Source organism: Homo sapiens, chromosome 4 (genome assembly GCF_000001405.40).
Source record: "Homo sapiens chromosome 4, GRCh38.p14 Primary Assembly".
Taxonomy (NCBI): Eukaryota; Metazoa; Chordata; class Mammalia; order Primates; family Hominidae; genus Homo; species Homo sapiens.
The window spans coordinates 150,254,258-150,275,415 of record NC_000004.12 but is presented as its reverse complement, the minus strand read 5'-3'; the positions used below and the strand labels follow the sequence as shown (position 1 = coordinate 150,275,415).

At 43.6% G+C, this 21,158-nt stretch overlaps 2 protein-coding genes across 20 annotated transcripts in view; one reads left to right on the top strand and one right to left on the bottom strand.

Annotated features, from left to right (window-relative positions):
- LRBA (LPS responsive beige-like anchor protein) overlaps positions 1-10,981 on the top strand; it is a 751,293-nt gene extending 740,312 nt beyond the window's left edge. For all 11 annotated transcript variants that reach the window (XM_047416462.1, NM_001367550.1, NM_006726.5 and 8 more), the window contains one exon: positions 9,604-10,981. In XM_047416462.1, the coding sequence (XP_047272418.1) occupies positions 9,604-9,694 (91 nt within the window). In that variant the 3' untranslated portion in view covers positions 9,695-10,981. The remainder of the gene's footprint in view (positions 1-9,603) is intronic.
- The window catches only part of DCLK2 (doublecortin like kinase 2), a 178,994-nt gene continuing 175,813 nt past the window's right edge, over positions 17,978-21,158 (bottom strand). For 8 of the 9 annotated variants that reach the window (XR_007096380.1, NR_036614.2, NM_001040261.5 and 5 more), the window contains one exon: positions 17,978-19,396. Coding sequence is in view for 7 of the 9 variants with exons in the window: in NM_001040261.5 (NP_001035351.4) it covers positions 19,169-19,396 (228 nt within the window). In the remaining 2 variants the exon portion in view is untranslated. Of the gene's footprint in view, positions 19,397-20,977; positions 20,991-21,158 lie in introns of all 9 variants that reach the window. The other variant, XM_017007832.3, reaches the window with a different exon arrangement.

Below are 21,158 nucleotides of genomic sequence, written 5' to 3'. Positions count from 1 at the left end.
AATACTATGTTGAATAGGAGTGGTGAGAGAGGGTATATCCTTGTCTTGTGCCAGTTTTCAAAGGGAATGCTTCAGTTTTTGCCCATTCAGTATGATATTGGCTGTGGGTTTGTCATAAATAGCTCTTATTATTTTGAGATACATTCCATCAGTACCTAGTTTATTGAGAGTTTTTAGGATGAAGGGGTGGTGAATTTTGTTGAAGGCCTTTTCTGCATCTATTGAGATAATCATGTGGTTTTTGTCATTGATTCTGTTTATGTGATGGATTACTTTTATTGATTTGTGTATGTTGAACCAGCCTTGCATCCTAGGGATGAAGCCCACTTGATCATGGTGGATAAGCTTTTTGATGTGCTCCTGGATTTGGTTTGCCAGTATTTTATTGAGGATTTTCGCATTGATGTTCATTAGGCATATTGGCCTGAAATTTTCTTTCTTTCTTGTGTCTCTGCCAGGTTTTGGTATCAGGATGATGCTGGCCTCATAAAATGAGTTAGGATTCCCTCTTTTTCTATTGATTGGAATAGTTTCAGAAGGAATGGTACCAGCTCCTTTTTGTACCTCTGGTAGAAATTGGCTGTGAATCTGTCTGGTCCTGGACTTTTTTTGGTTGGTAGGCTATTGATTTCAGAACTTGTTATTGGTCTATTCAGGGATTTGACTTCTTCCTGGTTTAGACTTTGGAGGGTGTATGTGCCCAAGAATGTATCCATTTCTTCTAGATTTTCTAGTTTATTTGCGTAGAGGTGTTTATAGTATTCTCTGATGGTAGTTTGTATTTCTGTGTGATCAGTGGTGATAACCCCTTTATCATTTTTTATTGTGTATATTTGATTCTTCTCTCTTTTCTTGTGTATTAATCTGGCTAGTGGTCTATTTTGTTGATCATTTCAAAAAAACCAGCTCCTGGATTCATTGATCTGAAGGGTTTTTTGTGTCTCTGTCTCCTTCAGTTCTCCTCTGATCTTAGTGTCTTCTGCTAGCTTTTGAATGTGTTTGCTCTTCCTTCTGTAGTTCTTTTAATTGTGATGTTAGGGTGTTGATTTTAAATCTTTCCTGCTTTCTCTTGTGGGCATTACGTACTATAAATTTCCTTCAAAACACTATTTTAAATGTGTCCCAGAGATTCTGGTATGTTGTGTCTTTGTTCTCATTGGTTTCAAGTAACATCTTTATTTCTGCCTTCATTTCAGTATTTGCCCAGTAGTCATTCAGGAGCAAATTGTTCAGTTTCTATGTAGTTGTGCGGTTTTGAGTGAGTGTCTTAATCCTGAGTTCTAATTTGATTGCACTGCGTCTGAGAGACTATTGGTTATGATTTCCATTCTTTTGCATTTGCTGAGGAGTGTTTTACTTTCAATTATGTGGTCAATTTTAGAATAAGTGCAGTGTGGTGCTGAGAAGAATGAATATTCTGATGATTTGGGGTGGAGATTTCTGTAGATGTCTGTTAGGTCTGCTTGGTCCAGAGCTGAGTTCAAGTTCTGAATATCCTTGTTGTTGCTTTTCTGTCTCATTGATCTAATATTGACAGTGGGGTGTTAAAATCTCCCACTATTATTGTGTGGGAGTCTAAGTCTCTTTGTAGGTCTCTAAGAACTTGCTTTATGAATCTGGGTGCTCCTGTATTGGGTGCATATATATTTAGGATAGGTCTTGTTGTTGCATTGATCCCTTTACCATTATGTCATGGCCTTCTTTGTCTCTTTTGATCTTTGTTGATTTAAAGTCTGCTTTATCAGAGACTAGGATTGCAACCCTGCTTTTTTTTTTTCTTTCCATTTGCTTGGAAAATCTTCCTCCATCCCTTTATTTTGAGCCTATGTGTGTCTTTGCATGTGAGATGGGTCTCCTGAATATAGCACACTGATGGGTCTTGACTCTTTATCCAATTTGCCAGTCTGTGTCTTTTAATTGGAGCATTTAGTCCATTTACATTTAAAGTTAATATTGTTATGTGTGAATTTGATCCTGTCATTATGATGCTAGCTGGTTATTTTGCTCATTAGTTGATGCAGTTTCCTTCATAGCGTCGATGGTGTTTACAATTTGGTATGTTTTCATAGTGGCTGGTACCGGTTGTTCCTTTCCATGTCTAGTGCTTCCTTCAGGAGCTCTTGTAAGGCAGGCCTGGTGGTGACTAAATGTCTCAACACTTGCTTGTCTGTAAAGGATTTTATTTCTCCTTTGCTTATGAAGCTTAGTTTGGCTGGATATGAAATTCTGGGTTGAGAATTATTTTCTTAGAGAATGTTGAATATTGGCCCCCACTCTCTTCTGGCTTGTAGGGTTTCTGCTGAGAGATCCGCTGTTAGTCTGATGGGCTTTGCTTTGTGGGTAACCTGACCTTTCTTTCTGGCTGCCCTTAACAATTTTTCCTTCATTTCTACCTTCACATAATCTGATGATTATGTGTCCTGGAGTTGCTCTTCTTGAGAAGTATCTTTGTGGTGTTCTCTGTATTTCCTGAATTTGAATGTTGGTCTGTCTTGCTAGGTTGGGGACGTTCTCCTGGATAATATCCTGCAGAGTGTTTTCCAACTTGGTTCCATTCTCCCTGTCACCTTCAGGTATACAAATCAAATGTAGATTTGGTCTTTTCACATAGTCCTATATTTCTTGAAGGCTTTGTTTGTTCCTTTTCATTCTTTTTTCTCTAATCTTCTCTCTTTATTTCATTAAGTTGATCTTCAATCTCTGATATCCTTTCTTCTGCTTGATCGATTTGGCTATTGATACTTGTGTATGCTTCATGAAGTTCTCGTGCTGTGTTTTTCAGCTCCATCAGGTCATTTATGTTCTTCTCTAAACTGGTTATTCTAGTTAGCAATTCGTCTAACTTTTTTTCAAGGTTCTTAGCTTCCTTGCATTGGATTAGAACGTGATCCTTTAGCTCGGAGGAGTTTATTACCCACCTTCTGAAGCCTACTTCTGTTAATTTCTCAAACTGTTCAGCTTTGTTCCATTTTTCTGGCAAGGAGTTGTAATCCTTTGGAGAAGAGGCATTCTGGTTTTTGCAATTTTCAGCTTTTTGCACTGGTTTCTCCCCATTTTTGTGGATTTATCTATCTTTCTTTAGTCTTTGATGTTGGTGACCTTTGGATGGGTTTTCTGTGTCTAGACATCCTTTTTGTTGATGTTGACGCTATTCCTGTTTGTTAGTTTTCCTTCTCACAGGCCTCTCAGCTGCAGCTCTGCTGGAGTTTGCTAGAGGTCCATTCCAGACCCTGTTTACCTGGGTATCACCAGTGGAGGCTACAGAACAGCAAACATTGCTGCCAGTTCCTTCCTCTGGAAGCTTCATTCCAGAGGGGCCTCCGCCAGAGCTCTCCTGTATGAGGTGTCTCCCAGTCAGGAGACACAGGGGTTGAGGACCCACTTGAGGAGGCAGTTTGACCATTAGCAGAGCTCAAATGCTGTCCTGGGAGATCCACTGCTGTCTTCAGAGCTGTCAGACAGGGACATTTAAGTCTGCTGAAGCTGCACCCACAGCTGCCCCTTCCCCCAGGTGCTCTGTCCCAGGGAGATGGGGGTTTTATCTATAAGCCCCTAACTGGGGCTGCTGCCTTTTTTTTCAGAGATGCCCTGCCCAGAGAGGAGGAATCTAGAGAGGCAGTCTGGCCACAGTGGCCTTGCTGAGCTGCAGTGAGCTCCACCCAATTCGAACTCCCCAGAGGCTTTGTTTACACCGTGAGGGTAAAACCACCTACTCAAGCCTCACCAATGGCGGACGCTCCTCCCCCCACCAAGCTTGAGTGTCCCAGGTCAACTTCAGACTGCTGTGCTGGCAGCAAGAATTTCAAGCCAGTGGATCTTAGCTTGCTGGGCTCCATGGGAGTGGGACCCACCGAGCCAGACCACTTGGCTCCCTGGCTGCTCCTCCCCCCACCAAGCTTGAGTGTCCCAGGTCAACTTCAGACTGCTGTGCTGGCAGCAAGAATTTCAAGCCAGTGGATCTTAGCTTGCTGGGCTCCATGGGAGTGGGACCCACCGAGCCAGACCACTTGGCTCCCTGGCTTCAGCCTCCTTTCCAGGGGAGTAAACGGTTCTGTCTCGCTGGCATTCCAGGCACCACTGGGGTATGAAAAAAAAAAAAAAACTCCTGCAGCTAGCTCAGTGTCTACCCAAACGGCCGCCCTGTTTTGTGCTTAAAACCCAGGGCCCTGGTGGTGTAGGCACCCAAGGGAATCTCCTGGTCTGCAGGTTGTGAAGACTGTGGGAAAAGCGCAGTATCTGGGCCAGAGTGCACCATTCCTCATGGCACAGTCCCTCACAGCCTCCATTGGCTGGGGGAGGGAATTCCCCGACCCCTTGTGCTTCCATGGGTGAGGCAACACCCCACCCTGCTTCGGCTTGCCCTCCGTGGGCTGCACCCACTGTCCAACCAGTCCCAACGAGATGAACCAGGTACCTCAGTTGGAAATGCAGAAATCATCCACCCAGCGTCAATCTCACTGGGAGCTGCAGACCAGATCTGCTCCTATTCGGCGATTGCCAGCCTGAAGAAGTATCATCATCTTTATCAGTAAATAAAATTGAAAGAGCTGTAAAGATGTTTAATGTAAAATGCCTTTATCTCTGCATATCTCTGCATATGGAGAGTCCCCTGAAAGATAGGGCTTATTTCCTAAAAGCTCTCAAGTGGTAGATTTTGGGGGGATCATCTTTATCTGGCACCTTATTTCCTCTTAACGTATAGTCACTCATTTTTGTTCCTTTTAAAAAAAATTGTGGCAACATATAATATTTTCCATCTAAACTCTTTTCGATATATAATTTAGTGGCATTATGTACATTTACAGTGTTGTGCCACCATCACCATCATCCATTTCCAGACCCTTTTCATCATAAACAGAAGCTCTGCATGTTAATGACTCTCTCTCCCACCAGCTCATGTGCATGCTACTTTCTGTCTCTATGAATTTGCCTCTTCTAAGCACCTTCTGTTAAGTGGAATCATACAATATTTGTTGTGTTGTGCCTGGCTTATTTCACTTGGCATAACACTTTCAAGGTTCTTGCATGTCGTAGCACGTATCAGAATATTATATGAATATTCTGTGTTCTGTTTATCGTTCACCTGTTGATGATGGACACTTGGGTTGTTTCTACCTTTTGGCTATGGTGAGTAATGCTGCTATGAACATTATCATACAAATATCTATTCAAGTCCCTTTTTACAGTCCTTTTGGGTGTATGCCCAGGAGTGGAATTGCTGGGTTATATGGCAATTCCGTTTGACTTTTTGAGGAAACCCTAAAGTGTTTTCCACAGTGGCTGTACCATTTTACATGGGTTCCAATTTCTCCACATCCTTATCAACACCTTGCTCTATTTTTTAACAGTTGTCCTAACAGGCGTGGTCTCTCATTGTGGTTTTGATTTCCCTAATGATCAGTGATGTTGTCTTTTCACTCTCTTCCTAATATCCTTAGATGCTCAAAAGATTTTACTTTTTGTTTGTTTTTTGAGACAGGGTCTCACTCTTTTGCCCAGACTGGAGTGCAGTGGCACAATCACAGCTCACTGAAGCCTCAACCTCCTGGGCTCAAATGATTCTCCCGCCTCAGCTACATGGTAGCTGGTACTCCAGGCATGTGCCACCATGCCCAGCTTTTTTATTTTCTGTAGAGACAGGGTCTCACTATGTTGCCCAGGCTGGTCTTAAACTCCTGGGCTCAAACAAACAATCCTGCTGACTCAGCCACCCAAAGGGATGGGATTATAGCCATAAGCCACTATACCTAGCCCTGATTTTACATTTTATGAAGTCCTATTTTTTGTTATGAGTTTGTTTTGTTATCTTGTCTCTTTTGTTTTGATATCATATCCAAGAAGCCACTGCAAAATCCAAGGTCATGAAGGTTTTCCCATATGTTTTCATCTAAAAGTTTTATAGTTTTAATTTGTATTTAGGTTTTTGATCTGTTTTTAGTTTTTTAATATAATGGTAGGTAAGAGTCCACCTTCATTGTTTTGCATGTGGACATCCTATTTTCCCAGCATAATTTGTTGAAAAGAAGGTGCTTTCTCCGTTGAAAGGTCTTGGCACCCTATTTGAGCACATATGTGAGGGATTATTTCTCAACTTTCTCTTCTGTTGGTCTGCCTATATCAGTGTGACAATGTTTTGATTACTGTCGCATTGTAACAACAGTAAGTAAGTTTTCAAATCAGAAAATGTGCAACTGCTAACATATTTCTTCTTTTTCAAGATTGTTTTGGCTGTTAGGGGTTTCTGTTTCGCTCTGTCACCCAGGCTGGAGTGCAATGGCATGATCTCGGCTCACTGCAATTCTTAATTTTCCTTTTGGACTGCTCATTGTTTGTTAGTGTATAAAAATGCAACTGATTTTCGTGTTGTATATCCTGCAAATTTGCTGAATTCATTTATTAGCTCTTTTGTTTTGTTTTGGTGTGGAATTTTTAGGATTTCCTACATACAAGATCATGTCATCTGTAAACAGAGACAGTTTCACTCCTCCTTTCCAATTTGGATACTTTTTTCTTGTGTAATTGCTCTGTCTAGGACTTTCAGTACTGTTGGATAAGAGTGATTAAAGTGGGCATCCTTGCCTTGTTCCCAATCATAGGGGAAAAACTTTTTTTCATCGAGTGTGGTGTTAGCTGTGAGTTATTCATACATGCTGTTTATCATTTGAGGTAGTTTCCTTCTACTCCTATTGTTTTCATAATAAAAGGATGATGAATTTTGTCACATGTCAAATTTTCCAGCATCAGTTGAGATGATCATGTGGGCTTGTTTTGTTGTTTGTTCTGTTAATGTAGTATGTTATATGTTGGTTGACTTTTGCATGGTGAGTCATCCTTGCATTCCCAGAATGAATCCCACTGGGTCATGGTGTACATTCCCACTACCATGCTAGTGAATTCAGTTTGCTAGTATTTTGTATCCTGGTCTGTGTGTTCTTTTGTTGTAATGTCTTCAACTGGCTTTGGTGTCATGGTAATACTGGCCTTATTGAATCACTTAGGAAGTGTTCTGGATTCTTTAATTTTTTGGAAGAAGAAATTGAGAAGGATTGGTGTTAATACTTCTTTAAATGTTTGGTAGAATTCATCAGTGAAGCCATCTTGTCTAGGACTTTTCTTATTGGGAGGTTTTTGATTACTGATTCAATCTCTTCACTTGTCATAAGTCTAATCATTTCTATTTCTTCATTCAGTTTTGGTATACTGTTTTCAGGAATTTGTCTATTTCATCTAGGTTGCCCTATTTGTTGGTATACAGTTGTTTCTAATAGTCTCTCTGAACTCAGTTTCTGCCAAATCAGTAATGTCCCAACTTTTATTTCTGATTTTAGTAATTTGAGTCATTTTTTTTTTTTTTTTGAGATGGAGTCTCACTCTATCACCCAGGCTGGAGTGCAATGGTGCAATCTCAGCTCACTGCAACCTCTGCTTCCCAGGTTCAAGTGATTCTCCTGCCTCAGCCTTCCAAGTAGCTGGGATTACAGGTGCCCACTACCACGCCCAGTTAATTTTTGTATTTTTAGTAGAGACGAGGTTTCCCCGGGTTGGCCAGGCTGGTCTCGAACTCCTGACCCCAGGTGATCCACCCACCTTGGCCTCCCAAAGTGCTGGGATTACAGGCATGATCCACCATGCCCAGCCAAGTCATCTTAGTCTAGCTAGAGGTTTGTCAATTTTGTTATTTTTTCAAAGAACCAATTTTTGGGTTTTTTCCTATCAATCATTTTACTATTTTCTGCTTTATTTCTCTCTACTCTGTTCTTTATTATTTTCTTCCTTCTGCCTAGCCTGGGGTTTTGTCTGTTTTCTAGTTCCTTAAGAGGTAAAGTTAGGTTATTGATTTGAGATATTTTTAAATCTATGTGTTTACAGCTAAAAATTTCCATTTTAGCATTGCTTTTGCTGCATTTCATAAGTTTTGGCTTGTTGTATTTCCTTTTCATTTGTCTCAGTATTTTCTGATGTCTCTTATGTTGTTGTTTGTTTTTTTTGACTCATCATTTATTTACTTTCCACATATTTGTGAATTTTCTAGTTTACCTTCAGTTATTGGTACCTAGTTTCATTCTATTATGATCAGAAAAGCTACTTTGTGATTTTAATCTTTACTAAGTCATTAACACTTGTGGCCTAACATATGGTTTATCTTGGAGACTATTCCATGCGCACTGCAAAAAAATGTATATTCTATTGTTGTTGGGAAGGTGTTCTATATACGTGTGTCAGGTCCAGTTGGCTTATCGTATTGTTCAAGTGTCCTGTTTCCTTATCTTCCACCTGGTTGTTCCACCCATTATTGAAAGTGGGGTATTGACGTCTAAAACTATTACTGTAGAACCATTTCTCCCTTCAATTCTGTTAATATTTGCTCTTTGTATCTTGGGGGTCTGATGATAAATGCATATATAATTGTTATATTTCTGTGAATTTACCCTTTTCTCAGTGTAGTGTCCTTTGTCTCTTGTAACAGTTTTTGACTGAAAGACTATTTTGTCTGATATTAGTGTAAGCCACCTCAGCTCTCTTTGCTAGTACTTACACGGAATATCTTTTCCATCCTTTCACTTTCAAGATGTTTGTCTTTAGATCTCAAGTGGGTCTCCTGTAGACAGCATATAGTTGGATCATGTTTTTTATCCATTCTGCCAATCTCTTCCTTTTGGCTGGAGAATTTAATCTCTTTAATGACTGATAAGGAAAGACTGACTTTTGCCACTTTTCTATTTAATTTTCTCTCTGCCTTAGAGTTTTGTCTCTCATTTCCTCCTTACTGTCTTCCTTTGTTTTTAGTTGATTTTTTTTGTAGTGACACATTTTAGTTCCTAATTAATTTTGATACGAGGTACTAGGAAGGATACTGAATATGGCTTCTAAGGGCTGGTCCTAACCAAACTACACAGAGAAAAATCTGGCTATGCTCAGTTTAGGTTCACCTATGTTCTCCATCTCTTTCCCTGCACCACCTCTTTGGGGACAGGAGACCAAGAAGCTTGCAGAAGTTCTTATCTTCAGTGATTTCGGTGAGTTACTGTGTTACGAGGACTAGGTCCTCACCCAGAGCATGATGGACATAGACTACTTCTCCACAGAGGGGAGACCAGCTTAAATTATGGTCAACAACACTCTTCTTTTTCACTCTTCATTGATTCTGTACCTGTCAGAGGTGGTGTCTCTTGTCACTTGAGTGTGTGCTGCTTCTTTCCACCAGCAGTTACTTTGAGATTGTGGTTCCTTCTTTTGAGTCTGTTGCTTATATAATGGATGGGTCTTGCCAGCCCAGTCCCCCTTTAGAAATTACCAAATCTGTTCAGATTTTAGTTACAAATCTGTTCAGATTTTAGTTACTCATCCTGCACATACCAGCTGTCCGTACCCTTTCAATGAAAAAGCAAGCTGTGGCTTGGATCCTTGTGGAGTGTCAGAGGCAGTACTCTGAGCTTACTCAGGGATACATTTTAGTCATGAAATACATACCTTAGTTCCCACAAATTGGAGCCTTCACTGCCAGCTTCTATATTTACCTTGTGGATTTGGGGAGAGCAGTTTTTAGTAACATCTCTAGGACACACAGGTTTGTAAAAGTCCTTCTCTCTGTGCTTCTCCTAGGTGCATCATTTCTGGCATGGCTTCAGGAAGCATTGTGCTATTTTACAACGACTTTAACCGGTGGCATCATGAATACCAAACCCGCTACTGATGGTGACAGCTGTACATCAACTCTGCCCCTAGGATGAGCAGAAGTACCTGGAGCATCATTCTCTTCTACCACATCTGAATGTAACTTAAATTTGCTCAAAGAAGCAAAATATTTTTTAAAGTTATTAATAATTGCTATTTTTGTAGTCTTTGCTTGACTTTTTTGGGGGGGATTAGCAAAGCAGAAAACTGGCTGCTGGGTTCTGTAGTTTTAAAAAATCTATATTTTTAGTCATAATGAGAAGTCTATTTTCACCAATTATGGAAACATACAGTGGAGCAAGTAAACCACTTATTCCAGCTATAATATTATGAAGAACATTTCCCATGCATCTACAAGCTTGAGAAATAGGATTTTCACAGTGGGGAAGTGGGTTACAATATTGGAATAGGAAAATTTGATGCTGTAATTTGGGTCCTGTATTTTTCCAAACAACTGTGCTTCTTCAGCACTAATATTTCTGGGATTTAAATAGTAATGTTTAAATTATGGTAAATGTAATTTAAAACATCTCAATTAAGTCTGTCTATCAATATTGTTCTTCAAGCATGTTTTAGACCTAGAAAAGTATGGTTTGGGGGAGGCTATTTTATTGTGTGGTTAGCACAAGGAATCTAATTTATAGCAAGTGTGAAATAGTTACCATTTTTTCCTGATCTGTCATCTTCATAGCACAACAAAACGAAATGATGGAAATGCTCTTGAGCTCACAACATTTGTTTTTCTTTTAAAGTAAATGCAAGTACCAAAGCTCACTACTGCGGTTTGCCTGTGCCTGGACAATGAGGCGGAGCCACTGTTGTTTTGTTGGGGCACCCCCTTCCCTCCCCGGGTTTGCAAATAGAGGCTACCGGGTGCTGTATTCAGCAACACCTGTTTTACTATTTGTTATTAAACTATCATCTCCACCTTCCTTTTGATTAGCAATTTGTACTAAGAAACGAAACAATGTTATTTGGTGGTGTATAATTCTACTTTTCTAGTAGATTACTGTGTGGAATTCTGTGAAAAATATTTGAGAAAAGGCCTGTATTGCATAAATAAATTCTTTGTATGTTGTGAACTTTGATCTCTATTTCTCTTGCAACAGACTTCAAGTGGTCCCTCTTTTTTTCCTACACACTCAGCTCTTCTCTAAAAGCAAGGATTTGGAATGAACAATTCAGTTTGACAGAAAAAGCTGAATAAAATGGCATCTGTAATTGAATTGTTGGAAATGCCTTTTTTGCTCCTAAATTTTAAACATCATTAATAAAATAATGATTCACAAAGAAAGAAAATGTCAAACTCTGATTCAGTCCTAGTTTTTGATCAATAACCAATGTGAGAGATCCTCCTGACTGAAAACAGGAAAATGAGCTTTCTTTGGCCAGATCTCTCCTCTTTCTTACTGAGACTCACACAAATGACCTAGACCTGAATCTTACAAATGCCTAGCAAGGAACTTTATGTACCACTTCATCTGAGATCCATCATTAAGAAAATAAATAGACGACGGTGAAATGTGGGGGAGGGAAAGTACATTTTAGAATCAAAGAAATACCCAAGTTGCTGATAAATTAATTAACTGATGAACATCTTCACTGTTTGTTTGTTAATGTCCTCATTAACTTGTGAATATTACTCTTTGAAAACTTCTTAAGTGAACAATGGTAAAAGAAAATACCAATACCTAAGTCGTGCCACACAAATGATACTTCAACCACCCTATGCTTAACAAGCCTAAAGCAAAGCTCCTCTTGAAACCTAAAAGGAAAAAAAAATCAGTATCTCCACTACCTTTATTGTTTTAAAAACTTACGACTAACGAAAATTAATTGAAACATAAGTTGGCCGGGTGCATTGGCTCACGCCTGTAATCCCAGCACTTTAGGAGGCCGAGGCAGGCGGATCACTTGAGGTCAGGAGTTCGAGACAAGCCTGGCTAACATGGGGAAACCCTGTCCCTACTAAAAATACAAAAAGTAGCCAGGCTTGGTGGTAGGCGCCTGTTAATCCCAGCTACTCAGGAGGCAGAGGCAGGAGAATTGCTTGAGCCTGGGAGGCGGAGGTTGCAGTGAACTCAGATTGTGCCACTGCACTCCAGCCTAGGCGACAGAGTGAGACTGCATCTCAAAAAATAATAATAATAATAATTAAAATTTAAAAAATAAATATTAAAAGAAACAATACTTCATGAAACAAATAAGGCTGGCATCAACACATGGGCTTCTTAATGACAGAATCTGTTCAGTAATAACATTTACAGTTTATTCAATATTTACTTATTCAATTTTAACTAACTCCTTAAAAAGGCTATTACTTTACATAAATGTAAGCCAGCTAAGAAAAAGCCAGCTAAGTGAAAGTAGAGGTGTTTTGGGGCTGGAAATAAGGGAACCACAACAGAGGGAGCAGTGCGTCTGCACAGTGAGTAGATGCGGCTGGATGGGCTGTGCTTGGTCCATGTACAGTAACTGAGGGCTGGTTTAAGATGCATTGCCTCCAGAAATTAAGATTTTCCTCCCTGACATACTGTTTCTTACTGAAATATAACCAATCAAGTCCCTGAGATGCTGTCATTTAAGAAATACCATTAGATCTGTGGGAGAAAGCAGGAGAGCTAAGAGACAACATGAACATCCGAAAAACATCGATAGAAACGTGTAGACAACACACTCTCAGATGACAGTGTCTTACTCCCAAAGTACACCAAAAATCAGTGTTTTCATAAATTACTTCAATAAAAGAGCTATTTTATCCATTGAGAAACATCACACCTCACTTCTGCTTAGCATACACAACAGGAAGATTCCAAGTGTCTTGCACAGGAATTACGAGTAGCCGTGAGCAGGGCATGAGGTCAGGAACTGACAACCCGGGGTCGCCCTTTCCACTCGCTCTAAGAGCAGCCGAGCCAGAGGGTCAGGGGCCAACCACACACTTGGTGTCACATGTCCTCCTACACCTGTCAGAGGGACAGTGAGATGGCAGTGGTTGTGTGAGTCAAGCTTGCAGGAGATGGTCAGGGAACCTGGGATGTAGCCACTGCACCTACTTTGTACCCTTCTTAGCAAATACAACAGCTTGCAGCAGCTTAGATTCACCATGAAAGGTGGTTGAGGTAGAGATTTTCAGTAGGTTTCTTTGGTATCTTGTTACTGGCTGTGATCTCAAGAGCTTCCAGCCATGCAAATAAAAGGCCTGGTTTAGTCCTTTCTAATGTGACAGTCCTGCCCCATTCTCCATCCCTGCTAAAAAAGGCAGCTGACCCATGATATAAACAGATTCCTCCTGGATCCAGATGCAGAAGTGTCTTTCATTTAAAAGCTGGAATAAGCCACCACTGAGCTAGGTGGAGAAACTTCACCAGTTCCTGGTGTGTGTTCACTATGGATTAGCCCCATAGCCCCACATGAAATCACATTAGGCCAAAGTATGTTCACAAACAGAAGCAGGATGTAACTTTAGTCTCAAAATCTGCATAACCTATACATGAGCAAATGTGCTAGTGCCTCCACTTGGCTATTTTTGCCCTACCACATGGAAGGAAATCGTTTCCTACTTCAAGCAGAAGAACACCCAGCCCAGCTTACCCCCGTTTTGTGTAGCATAAAGTTGAACCACTGTTAATTCTATAGGCTTCACAAGTTATCCTTGCAGGGGAAGGAGGCTGGGAAGTTTCAAAATTTCCTACTTGTAAGAAGGAAGGGCAAGACCATAAAGTAGCAAATACATAAATAGCCAAACAAACCATTTTAAAGTTCTACTTCCTCTCAGGTGAGTGGGAGAAAAATCTTTTGGATTTTTCTTTTAGATAGACTTGAAAAGTTGAGTCCATGATGAACTTCTTGCATGCTCTATAGTCATAAGATCGCTAAAGACCCAAGACTACTGTTAACACCACTGACACATCACTCCCAGCCCTGGCTGCTATGAACCAGAACCGCAGACTGCTCAGAGCAAGGCACATCACATTTTTCTCTCATGAAATGAAGGGTGGTTTGGCCTTTAGGCAAGCAATTTGTTTTGAGAGAGCTGGGCTCCTCCAGCAAGGTTAGAAGACAAACTGTGAATGCTCCTATGAGATCTTGGTGATCTATGCCAGAAACATGAAGTGAACTATTTTTCTGTCTCAAATTCAGGAATATTTTTCCTTGCCAAAACCAAGATTCCAGGGAGTTGGGCAGGCTTGTCCCTTCCTCATACCTGGCAGGAAGCTGGCTGCTTTGCAGCTTTGGCCTTGGATAATTTGAAAGACATCCCCGGAACTAACTTCAGCCTCAACACAGACAGGCATCCAACCACTCCTCGCAATGCAACAGACTCAGCCCGCCTGATGGTGCTGGAGGCCTGTGGTGCCCAGCTCTGCCCAAATTGAAGGGGCATGGTAGGGGCCAATGACTGTCTCTGTATCAAATATATGCTTTTCTTCCCCTCAGCCATTCAATGCTGGCAAGGCCTTCCCACAGCTGTCTTTGAGTTCAAGGCTTTGTTTTTTATCATAAGATTGCCCCTTAGAACCCCCTGGCCAAGACTCACCAAAGTTGCACATGTCAGCCTCCCTCTGGAAAAACCACTCTCTGACTTTGATCTAAATAAGTGCCCCTGCTCTGATAACTTCTCAGCCACTGACAAAGTGGTAGAAAATGAAGGGTGGTTTGGCCTTTAGGCAAGCAACTTTTTTTTTTTTTTTTTTTGAGACAGAGTTTTGCTCTTGTTGCCCAGGCTGGAGTGCAATGGTGCAATCTTGGCTCACCGCAACCTCCGTCTCCCGGTTTCAAGCGATTCTCCTGCCTCAGCCTCCTGAGTAGCTAGGATTACAGGCATGCGCCACCACACCCAGCTAATTTTATATTTTTAGTAGAGACGGGGTTTCTCCATGTTGGTCAGGCTGGTCTTGAACTGCCTTCCTCGGGTGATCCGCCTTGTCTCCGCCTTGCTGGGATTACAGGCGTGAGCCACGTGCCTGGCCAGGCAAGCCATCTCTTTTGAGAGAGTGGGCTCCTCCAGCAAGGTTAAAAGCCAAACTGTGAATGTTCCTATGAATTCGCACCCCACCTGTGTCTTACACACGCAGCACTCCTAACACATCTCTGACTGCCAAAAGAGGAAACCTTGTCATGGGGCACCTGCCCTGCCTGGGGAAGCTCTTGACCATTCCATTTCCTTATTTATTAGACAAGGATATTAATATCTATCTCTTAGGGCTGTGGCATATCTCAAATGAGATAGGATGAAATACTCCATAAGCTGCAAACTTGTGTGATTGTCATGATCTTCTTCTTTAGAAAGCAGCTGATTCTGTGACTGCACTGCTCTGTTACTAGAATCTTACTCTCACTCTGTCCTTAAATCTGACCTTTTGTGCCCCCTACCTGCTGACCTCAGGCTGACCATCCAGAGCAACTAAAAAAAGGCTGTGCCCCTTCTATGGAGCAGTCCTTTACACAGCCAAAGACATTGAGCAAATGTGCCTCGACTTTCCTCTTACCTCACAGTTTTCTCCACCAGTCCTTGGCTGCCAGGATTCACACCCCCTCACCACTCCAGCTGTCCTCTGTCGGGTGATCATTGCTCTTGCTCTGCACCACATGTAACAAGGTCCCCAGAACAGAACTCCATCCCCAGCTAGCACTGCCTGGGATCTGCGCGTGCTTCTCATAACACAGTTAAGATTATGCTAATGTTCAAGCAGCTGTGTTGGCTCCTAACGACTGGGCGGTCATTGAAATCCTCCAGGCCCAGATCTTCAGCCGTGCTGCAGGCCAGGGCCTTGCCTTGGGTAGTTACAGAATTGAATCACAGCACTTCACACTTCACTTCTACACCGTGGGTTTGGATCAGTATCCTCACCTGCTGAGATCCTTTTAAATGAGTCCATTCCATTAAAAAAAAAAAAACAGGAAAGCATTCTAAGTTGTTATTCACATCATATGCGGGAAAAAAAAAAAAAGGTTAAGAACAAAGACTGAAGCTGCAGCATGGCAGCCACTAACCACGTGGCTGTTCAACACTGGAAATGTGCCCTGTCCAAACTGAGACATGCTATAAATGTAAAGCACACCAGATTTCAAAGGTTTAGAACAAAGAAAGTAAAACATCCTAGTGATTTATGTTGATTACATGCCAAAATAATACTTTGGATGTATTTAGACATATTAGGTTAAATAAAATATACTATAAAAATTAATTTCACCTGTTTCTCTAAAAAATTTTTTTAACATGATACTAGGAAATGCTGTCTCCTGTGGCTTGCATATTTCTGTGGGACAGCAAACTGTTCTAGAGATCTTTCTCCAAGACAACATCAATCAGCACTCCTGCTTTCAACATGGTGAATCTGTCCTGAGCTGTCTTCACCATCTCCTAATTCACATTTCACCATTTTAGCCATGAAGATATTCTGGGGGAAGTTTTGCCAAATGCCTTCAATTTATATATTCAATACATTTCTATCATAGCAACCTTTCTGAAAAGAGAGGGTGAGAGGAAGAGAGAGAAAATGAGAGGCTGAGACTCGGCCCGGCTCAAGTAAGGGAATCAACATGAAACAGTTCATGCCATTCTCTCTGTGCAGGATTTGAGGAACCCAGCAGTTTTAAGTACCTGTATTTAATTTAGATCCTGAGACAGAATTACAGCTTAATAAATGTTTGCTAAACAAGTGGGCAGATGAACAATCTGCCTGTATCAGAACCTTTATTTAGCTCCTCCCCTCCAGGCCTTGATTTAGCCATGGATAGACAGGGTCACCCCCGCCCCGCCCCCAAAAAGAACATGCACTTTAGAGTCAGCAAAAGCTAACACTGCATCATGGCTCCACCTCCTGCCAATTCTATTACCCTGGAGGTGTGACTTGACCTCTTGGTTTGCTCCCCTAGCGCCACATACTTCTGTAGGTTTTCCTGGGGTCATAACCATTTTAGCAGGATGGCTAGGCAGTGCCGCCCCTGCCAGCTCATGCTACTTCCGGTCTCCATCCTTACAGAGGGCGGAGGCATGTACCGACAAGAAGAGGCTCCTGCATCCTGACAGTGACTGGCACTGGCCAGCCACTTATTTTGCCTTTAGCAGATGTCTTTCTTTGAACCTCACAGTTCAAGGGAGGGAAATGGGTTTGGGGCTCAGATCAGTGCCAGAGGCCTTGTTCTATCGCTGTTTGCATTTTTCTCCTTCTTCCTTTTATTAGCTCTTCCCTTCCATTAACAAAAATATTTCTATTGAAAGCTATGAAAAAGCTTGTCCTGTAACCAAAGAGGAGGCACAAGCAGAATGTTCTAGACCTATACATCACTGCTTTTTTGAAACTGTCGTCCTCCTGTAGCCTGACCCTGCTACAGCTGTGGGCCTAGGAAGCCCGCCGCCCGCTCCCCCAGCCCGCAACCCACCGCACCTTGTGGCCAACCTCTGGACCTGATCAGGGGTCAGCACCAGCCCAGAACTCATTGTATCGCCTGGCCCTTGAGATTGACTCATTCCTTCAGCAATCTGAACTGGAAGATCCAGAGTCAAGTTAGATGGTTTCAAGCCCTGGGATTATAAAGCCTTGAAAAGTTGCGGACAGAGGCAGTACCAGGGTAACCTGAACCACAGGTAAGTGGGTACTATGAGGGGACAGAAACAAGAGTCTTGCAGAGAAAGCTGTAGCTGACAAGGCACTGGAAAAAGCAGAGACAGGAGACCACACAACCTCAGAGAGAGACAGGGGAACAACTGCCCCAACTCTCTGCCCTTCCTGCTGCTGCTTCATAAGGTTCCTCTGTCGCACACCAAGCACACCATTTGTTCTTGAGCTTTTGTGATGTGTCTTTTTTTTTGAGGCAGGTTCTCACTCTGTCACCCAGGCTAGAGTGCAGTGGCACGATCTCAGCTCACTGCAGCCTCTACCTCCCTGGTTCAAGTGATTGTCCCTCCTCAGCCTCCTAAGTAGCTGGGATTATGGGCATGCGCCACCACGCCCGGCTAGTTTTTCTATTTTTAGTAGAGATGGGGTTTTGTCATGTTGGCCAGGCTGGTCTTGGAACTCCTGACCTCAGGTGATCCACCCACCTTGGCCTCCCAAACTGCTGGGATTACAGGCCTGAGCCACCACGCCCATTCTGCACCTGTAACCAGACAAACTTCAACCAAGATTCATTTCCATGTGTGTTCTCCCCGAGCTTCCTCTTTTCCCCGGGTGGCCCTGAGACTTTGCAAAACAGCCACTGGCACCCGCTGGAACCCGGGCCGAGGAGGAGAACTTTGCTCCCATACATCCTTAGCCAAACAACAGCACAGAAACCTTTGCCCATCCCTGATTACTTTTTTTCAAGAGGGAAAAGTTTATTGCAGGTTGGGGACACTTGTAAAAGGCAAAATCTAACAATGAGAACGAACTATAGGGCTCGCCAGTTTAGAAGATGAGCAGGTAAAACAAATACACGGATTATGTACAATTATTAAAAAGAGCAGGGTGGTGGACAAAAAGGAAAAACTGCCAGCAGCCTTCCAGAAGGTTCACAGAGTATATCCAGGGAGCACCTTCCCGCCCAGTCCTGGCTGCCTCGGGCATGCCTCCTCCTGTGGTTACCTGCCCTGCTCCAGATGAAATGCAGATGAGGAAGCAGCTACCGGGGCTCAGGAGCAGAGCTCATTCTGCTCGGCAAGTCGCTGGCTTGCAGGGAAGCAGCCGCTGGGTGCCGCATGCGCCAAGCCTCTCATTAAAAAGCCCAGAGGGCAAGTTCACGGGCATTTCCTAACACACGTGTGGGAAGAGCTGGGGGAAACCCACACCGCCCAGGGAAGAAGTGGCTTCTTCCATCGTCTGTGTATGAATGAATACTGAGCATTGTCTCTGGGGAGCCTGGTGCCCCAAGCCGAATGGCTGAGCCCGCCGCCCTGGGCCTCTGAGCGCTTCTCAAAGCCTGCAATCCGTGTCCAATGACCAAATTGTCCTCTCAGGCGCTCACTTCTTCTATTAGAAAGCCAGTCCTCTTAGCCCCCATATCACCTCTCACAGGACACCCACAAAAGGACAAATGCAATTCTAAGTCTTTCGTAAAAAAAAAAGAGAGAGAGAGAGAGAAAAGAAAAGAAAGGGAGTGTTCTGAGTCTACTTAAATAAGGAAAAGGCCTTGGTTCATCCAAAGTGTTTCCAAAGTGTTTCTATAAAAATGCATCGAATGCTGGAATAAAGTTGCACATTCTCCTGGTGAAGCTGTAAAATGTCCAACAAACTGAAAATGACGGGATGATCTGGAACGAGTCTCTCCGAACAGCTGTTGGCAGAACGGATGCAGCCTTTGATGCCTCCAGGAACCAGAAGGCAGAGCCCAGAGCACCAGGCCAGGCTCCGGCACGCCAGGCTCCGGTTCCCAGGCGGCCTGCGGAGGACCCGCGAACTCAGGCGCAGGCGGTGAAGAGAGGGAGGCCTGCAGCAGGGAGGCCGGCGAGGCCGAGCAGAGGGCTGGCTTCCTGGGCTGCAGCAGGCGGCTTCGCCCGTCTGCAGGAGGCTCAGTCTCGGTGGCGGCGCCAGGTTCCTGCCCGCTCACCACCCGGGGCAGCGGGAGGAGGGTGGGGGGTGGGAGATTCCGGAGGGGTGGGGGCCGGGACTGCTTCCCCAGGCACAGGGATCTCCTCCACTGAGGGAGGAACTGGAGAGATGGGCTCCATCCCAGGCCTGCCGCTGTCTTGACAGTGCTTGCTGCAGAAAATCTGCCCCTCCTTATCTAGAGCCGTGTTCTGAGGAGGAAACAGCAGAGACAACACATTACCCGGGCCCAGGCTCGGGTCCCAGCTGCCACGAGCAGAGAGCACAACAGAGCATGCACGGGCCTCAGAAACAGAAGAGGAGAAATAACGCCAAGCTTCTAACAGAAGCCTCACAGGAGAGTAATGGTTTCGGGAACCCACCGGGGGAAGGGGCTGTCCTTGGCCTCTGCTCCTACCCTGACCCAGGCTGGCAGCCCAGGACACACTGGATGTCTGTCGTCTTCTCTCGCTTTGGGCTGTGCCTGGGTTCTCACCCCTTCAGCCCAAGCCCAGACCTTAAGCTCAAAAGAATTCTGAGACAATAAGCAAACCTTACAAGGGTGCTCAGTCTTGGAGAGTTTACTCTTCCAAATAAAGCTCTCTGTCACAGATTGAAAAGTTACCCGCATGTCCTGTGAATAATTAATCCTCCTAACAACCTGAGATGCTGTGAAGCCTATAAAAGGCCCAGGAATTGGATGGAGCCACATTACTCTTTTTTCAGATCCTCCATGATATCCTCACCTGTCTTCTCTTCACATGAAGCAAAGCTTCCTTATCCTGAAACATCCTGAAAGTTTTTAAATCTGCTCAGCTCTTCAAGGAACAGAGAAACAGCCACAAAGATGTGAGGCAGTCACCTTGCGTTCTAAGCCTGGCTGGGGAAGGGACCCCGGTCCTGCTTTCTCCTTCTCTATTTCCTGCTTGTCCAGGGAAGCCCATCAAGCTGCCATCTCAATGGGCTTCCCAAAAGTGAAGGAGATGGCAGTTCCCAGGCACCTTTAGCTGAAAGGGACAATTGCCAGGAGGCCTTTTGTAATCTAACTACCCTGGGGAGGGAGAGGGGAAAATGCACTAAAGATTCTTTCAGTACTTTAACAACAACAAAAAAAGTCTGGAGAAAATAAGAATCAACAACAGGGCTTTCTAAGATGAACTTGGGTGGCGGCCTTCAGGGCACCTGGGGCCACCTATGGAATGGCTGCTTCTCCACAGGCCCTCACAAGTTCAAGCTGAACAGTCATCCATTTCTGGCCGGGTGCAGTGGCTCACACCTGTAATCCCAGCACTTCCGGAGGCCAAGGAGGGAGGATCACTTGAGGTCAGGAGTTTGAGACCAGCCTGGGCAACACAGAGACTCCATCTCCACAAAGAATTTAAAAATTAGCCGGGCAAGGTGGCGTGCACCTGTAGTCCTAGCTACTTGGAGGCTGAGGCAGGAGGATGGCTTGAGCTCAGGAGTTTGAGGATACAGTGAGCTAGGATCACACCACCGCACTCCAGTCTGGGCAACAGAGCAAGATCCTGTCTCAATAAACAAAACTCCCCAAATCCCTACAATTTCCAAGGACAATTTCAACTACCTGGAGAAAGGGTAACTGTGGAAAACTCCACTAAAAGATGCTCCCACCTACATGGGAAGCAGAGAGCCAGCATACAGGTTTTTCCTACCACAAAATGTCTCCTGGGTACAAGAAAACAATCCCCCCGTTATTTCTCCTTTTCTCTTCCTGTCAGAAGCACAGGGGCGTGTGTGGCAGAAGGCAGGCTGGCAGTGCGGTTAGTACATACCATGGCCTTGGACCTAGCCAGAGGGAAGCAATGCAGGCGGCGGGAGAGGCAGAAGGCAGGAGAGAAGCAGGGACAGAAACTAGACTTACTTTCAACAGAAGCAACACGAGTGAAACAGTTTTGTCTATCTTAAATTAAGGCAATAAACCCAAATCCTTCCCCAACTTCCCCCTGAAACAAG